This window comes from Homo sapiens, chromosome 12 (genome assembly GCF_000001405.40).
Source record: "Homo sapiens chromosome 12, GRCh38.p14 Primary Assembly".
Lineage (NCBI taxonomy): Eukaryota > Metazoa > Chordata > Mammalia > Primates > Hominidae > Homo > Homo sapiens.
The window spans coordinates 10,429,970-10,438,529 of record NC_000012.12 but is presented as its reverse complement, the minus strand read 5'-3'; the positions used below and the strand labels follow the sequence as shown (position 1 = coordinate 10,438,529).

At 32.8% G+C, this 8,560-nt stretch overlaps 1 protein-coding gene across 1 annotated transcript; it reads left to right on the top strand.

Annotated features, from left to right (window-relative positions):
* The first annotated feature begins 2,519 nt into the window (after positions 1-2,519).
* Positions 2,520-7,931, top strand: KLRC2 (killer cell lectin like receptor C2). Its single transcript, NM_002260.4, has 6 exons — positions 2,520-2,730; positions 3,120-3,218; positions 4,000-4,044; positions 4,588-4,739; positions 6,324-6,424; positions 7,302-7,931. Exons 1-6 carry the CDS (start codon positions 2,544-2,546, stop codon positions 7,411-7,413), a joined length of 696 nt encoding a protein of 231 aa, NP_002251.2. The 5' UTR covers positions 2,520-2,543; the 3' UTR covers positions 7,414-7,931.
* The last annotated feature ends 629 nt before the right edge of the window (positions 7,932-8,560 follow it).

The window sequence follows — 8,560 nt, the reverse complement described above, 5'->3', positions numbered from 1 at the left end:
TAAAATGTAGACAATAAGTCATGATTAGAGAAGGAACCGGTGAACAATATAGTAGGTAGTTTTTTTTATTATTTCAGTCTCTGGCATAGAGATATAGCTCAGTATTGTTTAATATTTTATTCTTTCAAGAGACATTTATTTTAATCAGAGGAATCTGGTTAACTTATATAAAGAAGAAAAATTGAATGAGGGAATTTTAAGAACTAAGGCAAAGAAAGCAAGAAGATAAGTTTGAGAATGCATGTCAGTTACAATTAAGTTGAAAATGCAGCATTTTCTCAAAATAGTGACAAGTACATTAAATTCCTATTGATAAAATCATTATTTAAATTTTGTTATTATGATAGCAGTGATATTATAGGGGTATATGATAAAGAAGTATATAATGTCAAGTTTCAGCCACCTTGTCTAAATGTAGAAAGCAACCACCTAAGATCCTTTTGAAAAGTTACAAAACTTTGGTGTTTGTGACTGAGATGGAAACAATCACCAGCATGGATCAAATCTCTGCTCTCCCCTCATCTTGTCGACCATAAAAATAATTTCTAAGAGGCACTTTAAAATGGACAAACTAAATGACACACTAGCCACCCAAAGTCTCCTATATTCTAAAGTGTGTGATGAGACAAACTGATTCAAAATAGCCCTAGGGTGAGAATTTCCTGTTCAAATCTGCAGTGACACATTGGTGAGGAATCTACTTTTTCCACTCTTGCCTCACTCTGACCCTTCAAAGGGCAGCCTGTGAAGATCACAGATAACGTTTGTGTCTTTCAGAGGTAACCTGACCTCTCCACTGAAGGGCGTGTGGCTTTCTGATGACAGTAGGTAAGTGTTGCTCCTCTCCCTGTTTCTCTACTAGCTCATCTCATTTAGTAGAAGATTGTAAGTACTGGCTGTGATGCACCTGAGGTAAAGTTGATATAGACGAAAATCAAGGTAGAACTTTATTCACGTGAATAATTCAAGGTGAAAAACGAGCCAAAATATAAACTATGTTTAAGGATTTCTTAGAGTATTCACATCATTGCCGCTGGAGAATCACTCAAGTAGATGCATACATAATAATAGGTTTGCCAATCCATGTAATTTAGAGTGAAACCCATAACCATCATGACAATGAACAATTAATTTTGGATTTTGTAACCATTACATTTTGTATATTATATTTAGACCAAACTTTAAAAATAAATTTTTAATATGGATACATCAAATTGTGAATGTCAAACATTAATTCTCAATCACACACCTAGATTTCATGAAAGCAGTTTTAATTTTTAATAAAAGTAAGGATGAAATCATTTCCATAAAATGCAAATCTGACCTTAATTATAAACAATTGGAAGACTTAAAACAATTGAACCAAACATTGCAAAAAAGATGTACCACACTGACATGAGACGCCTAATTAATGAGTTATTTTAACACACTCTAATGCAAATCAGAAATAATAAAATGGCAATTGTGTTAAAAATAGTTGAAATATCTATTATGTATTCAGTGGTAACATGTGCCAGGTTGTGTGTTTAGTTTTTTACATACATTATACTTTATAAATTATTTTTCCCAATGTAGATTAGTAAACTAGGTTAGTAGACACTAAGTAATTTAGTACAGGTCACATATTACAACTTGCAAAGCTAGAATTAATTGTAGTCTCACTGACTACAGAGCTCATTGACTAGATTATTAAATTACATTATCTGAACTATTACAATTACTTATACAACCAAAGCAACCCTCACTGACTTATACAATCATAGGAGCTTTCTGAAAGTTTGATTGGACACTATTCTTCCATAGACGGCCCACACGTTTATTTATCATTTTAAGTTTTCCTATTTTAGTCATTAAATCAATTACCAATTTCTTGTGTAAAAGCAGCAATTTAAAAATACGTTTTCAATAATATTTATGCATACAGTAATGTAATGTTTTACAAGATATATTTTTAAAATTTTAATGATTTTTCTGATTTCCTAATTTAGAAAAAAAATCATTTGACAATACCTCAGGTCCTTTTAATAAATGAATGTAAGTCACTAACAATGTATTTTAGTATAAGAAGATACTCTATATGCTGACAGAACTATTTTATCTTATGGCACACAATCCTTAACCATCAATGACTCTTAAAACTATGATAAAATTTGTGTATTTCTAAATACAGTATTTTGATTGTTGACATATGCAGTCTATTGGTGTTAAACATTTTTGAAGAATCTAACCTTAATTTAATACCAATTTTTCATGAACTTCCTAGTTCTCATAAGTTTAATGTTTTTATTGTTCCCACTAGTAATATTATGTCAAATACAGAATACATCTAAAAAATTGCCAATTATATCGTGTGATTTTTGTTTAAAGCTTTAGGAAATTAGTAGCAGAATTTTACATTGGTTAACAGCAAAGTAAACATTATTACTCAGCCCCAACACATGCACATTGCCTATACCAGGGATCCTGTCAAAATATACACCATTTATAGCTTCTTAAGTGCAGTTATCATAGAGCACAGTCCCTCACATCACACAGCTGCAGAGATGAATAAACAAAGAGGAACCTTCTCAGAAGTGAGTCTGGCCCAGGACCCAAAGCGGCAGCAAAGGAAACCTAAAGGCAATAAAAGCTCCATTTCAGGAACCGAACAGGAAATATTCCAAGTAGAATTAAATCTTCAAAATCCTTCCCTGAATCATCAAGGGATTGATAAAATATATGACTGCCAAGGTAAAACATTAAATATATCTTCAATATTATTGTTCTAGGATGTGCAGTTGAATGCAGAAGGGTGAGGAAAGATTAGGGAATATTTTGCACTTGTGAGAATCGGAGTTCATAATTGGGATCTAAAATTCTAATATGAAATCAGAAGACTAATTTTATTCGGGCATTGTTCAACTGTAATCTGCGGTCCACTCATGGAACATTATATTTACTGAAAATGAAATGGTATATTCTGAGAGAAAGATTACTAGAGTAGATGTAGATTTAGAGGCCAGAGTTTATCATTATGTTTCCCTGTGCATGTGGGTTCTCTAGTATGTAATTCTCTAGTATGTAATCCTAATCAACTCTCTATCTCCCCTCTCTCAGTGCCTCTATTTCTCTCCCTGCAGGTTTACTGCCACCTCCAGAGAAGCTCACTGCCGAGGTCCTAGGAATCATTTGCATTGTCCTGATGGCCACTGTGTTAAAAACAATAGTTCTTATTCCTTGTAAGCATATTCTTGAAAGATTAGAAGGGAACGTTTTACTTTAATGCTTGGAAGTGCCTCAAAATATTTCATACTGTTGAAGAATAGAACTCTTATTTTACTGTTTCTTTCAAAGATCTATTACTTCATTTATTTTTATAGAAAAAGTTAATTTTATTAAAGATTGTCCCCATTTTAAATAACACACAAAGTTTCAAAGTAAGAAACTAAACTCATTATGGTTTATCTAAATATTACTTTTTATAAAAATCATTTTAATTTTTCTGTTACAGTCCTGGAGCAGAACAATTCTTCCCCAAATACAAGAACCCAGAAAAGTACATTTTTATTTTCAAAGTTCTGATATTAGTACAATTTGGAACCAAAAGTAATATGGTTATTCTGAATTTTTCACAACATAAATAACAAAATCATTGTAGAGAACATGTGTTTATTTTTTGTGTGTAATCTATATATATGTATATACATACACACACAAAGATATTTTCTGATTTCATAATTCAAAGGCATGCTATAGAAGAAAAGTATTTAGAAAAACAAATTAATTTTTGAAAGTGGTTACATCAAATACTACAAGAGATGGTGAAGTTTGTGCTAAAGTCTTTAAAAATGTTTATTTCAAAGGTCTATTACTTTATATATTTTTATAGAAAAAGTTAATTTTATTAAAGATTCTCCCCATTTTAAATAACACACAAAGTTTCAAAGTAAGAAACTAAACTCGTTATGGTTTATCTAGATATCAGTTTTTATAAAAATCATTTTAATTTTTCTATTACAGTCCTGGAGCAGAACAATTTTTCCCCGAATACAAGAACGCAGAAAGGTACATTTTTATTTTCAATGTTCTGATATTAGTACAATTTATATTTTGTGTCTGTTTTAAGGCATGTAAAAGAATAGTGGCATTTTTGCAGAAAATAAGCCATAAATTCAGCCATAAATATTTATAAAGAAAGATTATGAGGCAGCATTTCCTTTTCTCCAGTGAGTAGAAATACTCACTTAAAATCATTCTACCCTCTTTCTCCCAATTAACAGAGGTTTCCTACTGCTGTGAGATGATACCAAATAAATAATTTTACTATTCTAAAAAAGCAGTTGTGTATCAGCGATGTTCAACACATGTGTAGAGTGTATTTTTGTTTGTTCATTTGCTTTATATGGGAACACAATTAGGGAGGAGAGGCTAACCCTTGTCTGTGCATGTGTGTATGACTGACTCAGTTATTAAAAATATACATTTATAAGCCTGTAAGGATGCGTAAATATGTTAAGCACATATATGTTTATACTGTTGAAATATGTGAACTAATTTTCATTTTTAAAAATTCATATTGGTCTAGATAGTAATTCATATCTTTATTAGCACGTCATTGTGGCCATTGTCCTGAGGAGTGGATTACATATTCCAACAGTTGTTATTACATTGGTAAGGAAAGAAGAACTTGGGAAGAGAGTTTGCTGGCCTGTACTTCGAAGAACTCCAGTCTGCTTTCTATAGATAATGAAGAAGAAATGGTAAGATGTAAATGTTTCAAACATTTTATGAAAAGCTTCCTTCAGTGAATAATACATTTGTAGAAAACATCCATATGTGTGTACATATATTTATCTCATATATTTTCAAGTGTATGTAATATTCAATTGATTGACTTAATAATGTTTTTAAAGTTATATACTGCTAATGTACATTTATTTTCAGTTTTTGTTTTTCAAGGAAAACCATGCTTCTATAAGTGCTTTGAATCCACAATAAATTTTGCTATCTAATTTTATCGGGCATGATATCATCTGGTCATGCAGATTGATCACAAAGTGAATGAATGCATGTGATACAAGTCAGATCATGAAATAAAAGTTTCCAGCTCTAGCAGTTCCACCCCTGTGTATGCCCTCATCACTTATCCTGACTCCTCTCCAAAACGCAGTCTTGACTTTTAATATTATAAATAATGATTGCCTGTTCTTGAATTTATTTATATAAAGGGAATCAAGCAGTGTGAATTTCATGTCTTTTTCAATCCTATCTGATATTTGTGCAATTCCTCCATATTATTGCAGTTATCAGTAGTATGTTACTGTTCACTGCTGTACTATGTACAAAGAACAGTAAGAATCCATTGAGTCCTTGTCTCTGGATGGGGAAGTGGGTCTCATGCCCTCAGGGACAAAGAGGACCCTAGGTGGTTTACGGTGCACTGTTAGTCATGGGGTCCCTTTGCTGATCCTCCTCATCCACAGCCATCCTGGTGTCTCTTGGTATGAGAAGGAAGCACTTTCTCTAGCTCCATATTGGTAGCAGGTCTCCTGGTAGATCATCCTTGCCAGTGGCACCAGCCTTGCCTGGTATTGTGGAGGGGACTCTCCTTCGATACCCTCCTCCTATTGCCAGGTTGGGTGTAGGGAAACAGCAGGCCTAGGTCACCTTCTTCTGTCGTGTGGAGGACTTAACATGCTCACTCGGACACTTGGTTGATCCCTGATGCTAGGGTCCCAGACAATTTCATCTTTCTCTTTCCACCTTTCAGAGTTCTCCATTGCTTTTGTCTTTCATTAATCCCAGAGTTTATAGTTGTTTTTAGTCGGGAGTAGCAGAGAGAGACGAGTCTACACCACCTGGCCAGGACCCCTGTTATTCCGCAAAAACCGAATCGGATAAAAATTGAGGGCTTATCTAGTTAAAGAATGGTGTGGTACCCAGAAAACCCAATCTGTAGCTTCCATGTCATCTATTTCTGAATGACAACCCCTCAATTCCCTTCTAAATCTCCAACTCTGAGAAATATAGCACAAAAATAGATTGATTTAGTCACAGTATCTGGAGGAATGAATGCACAGTATCAGGAAACTTATTAAAACCCTTCCTGCGTTTATTCTGTTAATTGGAGTAACTATTACATTGCAAGAATTAAAATGTCTTTATTAACATGAGAATAAGAATGAAAGTACTAAGTATAAACGTTGAAGAGTTCATTTAAATAAAAAATTCAAACATTTATGAAAGTTTTTGGCACTGCAAATAGTGGTTTTCAACTTTAATATATTGTTTTTGTAATGTTTTCATAATTATTATTTAAGTGAAAATTATTTCTTTTCTTTTAGAAATTTCTGGCCAGCATTTTACCTTCCTCATGGATTGGTGTGTTTCGTAACAGCAGTCATCATCCATGGGTGACAATAAATGGTTTGGCTTTCAAACATAAGTAAGTTCTTTTGTATGGCGCTATATAAAAAATATATATAAAGGATAAATTCAGAAGAATAATATGAATAAATTTATGTGGAATCATTGACATGAAGAAAGATGTGGAAAGTTAGTGAAATGTTGATATAAATATTTTACAATAGACCATAGTAGTCCATATATTTCAACCGCTCATTGGTCTGCTAGTAACCTTCTTGGTTATCAGATGGACCAGGGGTGTCCCATCTTTGGCTTCTGTGGGCCACGTTAGAAGACGAATAGTCTTGGGCCACACATAGAATACACTAACACTAACGATAGCTGACGAGCTAAAAAAAAAAAAAAAATCACAGAATGTTTTAAGAAAGTTTACGTATTTGTGTTGGGCCGCATTCAAAGCTGTCCTGGGTCACGTGCGGCCCATGGGCAGCGAGTTGGACAACCTCGAGCTGGACTATCAGGGAACTGCAGTGCTTGTTTTTATTAAAAAGCCACGCTTACTTTTTTACTTAAGAATATCCTCAAAGCACAATAATAGTGCTGTTGGCATATTGCTATAATTTTTTTATTATTAGTTATTGTTGTCAATCTCTTATTGTGCCTAATTTATAAATTAAACTTTATCACAGTTATGAATGTGTAGAGAAAACATAATCTCTCTATAGGTTCTGCACTATCTGCCATTTCAGGCATCCACTGGGGTCTTGAAACATATCCCTCGTGGATGAAGAGGGACTACTCTGTTGAGTGTTCAGAATAATGACTCTTACTAATATTATGAAAAATTTAATTACCCTTTTCCATGAAATTCTTTTCTTACAGTACATGGAAAATGCTTTCGTCTCATGAATCATTTGCTTAAAATGTAACAGAAAATGGATTTTTCTCCATTACAGGATAAAAGACTCAGATAATGCTGAACTTAACTGTGCAGTGCTACAAGTAAATCGACTTAAATCAGCCCAGTGTGGATCTTCAATGATATATCATTGTAAGCATAAGCTTTAGAAGTAAAGCATTTGCGTTTGCAGTGCATCAGATACATTTTATATTTCTTAAAATAGAAATATTATGATTGCATAAATCTGAAAATGAATTATGTTATTTGCTCTGATACAAAAATTCTAAATCAATTATTGAAATAGGATGCACACAATTACTAAAGTACAGACATCCTAGCATTTGTGTCGGGCTCATTTTGCTCAACATGGTATTTGTGGTTTTCAGCCTTTCTAAAAGTTGCATGTTATGTGAGTCAGCTTATAGGAAGTACCAAGAACAGTCAAACCCATGGAGACAGAAAGTAGAATAGTGGTTGCCAATGTCTCAGGGAGGTTGAAATAGGAGATGACCACTAATTGATAGAACGTTTCTTTGTGTCGTGATGAAAACTTTCTAAATTTCAGTAGTGGTGATGGTTGTAACTCTGCGAATATACTAAACATCATTGATTTTTAATCATTTTAAGTGCATGAAATGTATGCTTTGTACATGACACTTCAATAAAGCTATCCAGAAAAAAAAAAGCCTCTGATGGGATTGTTTATGACTGCATTTATTCTCTAAAGTAATTTTTAAAGATTAGCTTCTTTATAATATTGACTTTTCTAATCAGTATAAAGTGTTTCCTTCAATGTACTGTGTTATCTTTAATTTCTCTCTCTTGTATTTTGTATTTTGGGGGATTGAAGTCATACAGAAATGTAGGTATTTTACATTTATGCTTTTGTAAATGGCATCCTGATTCTAAAATTCCCTTTAGTAATTTTTGTTGTTATAAATAGAAATACAACTGATGTCTGCATTTTGATTTTATATCTACTTATTCCACTGATTTTATATATTTAAATCTATTATGTCAACTATTGATTTATTTCTGGGTGTTCTATATAACGAGCAATTTTATCTGCAAATGATCACACTTTTATTTTTTTTAATCCATGTGCTATAACTTAGTTTTATTTTCATTTATTTTCACTGGCTAGGGTTTTATACCCATAGTTGAATAGAAGGCACAATCAAAGTTCTTTGTGGATCATATGCATCATTTTCTGGTTTTGGCAAAAAATACTTCAACATGTTATACATATTTAAAAAGCTTGGTGTTTTTTGCATCCTATCTTTCTCATATCGAAGCAGTTTTATAATACTATTT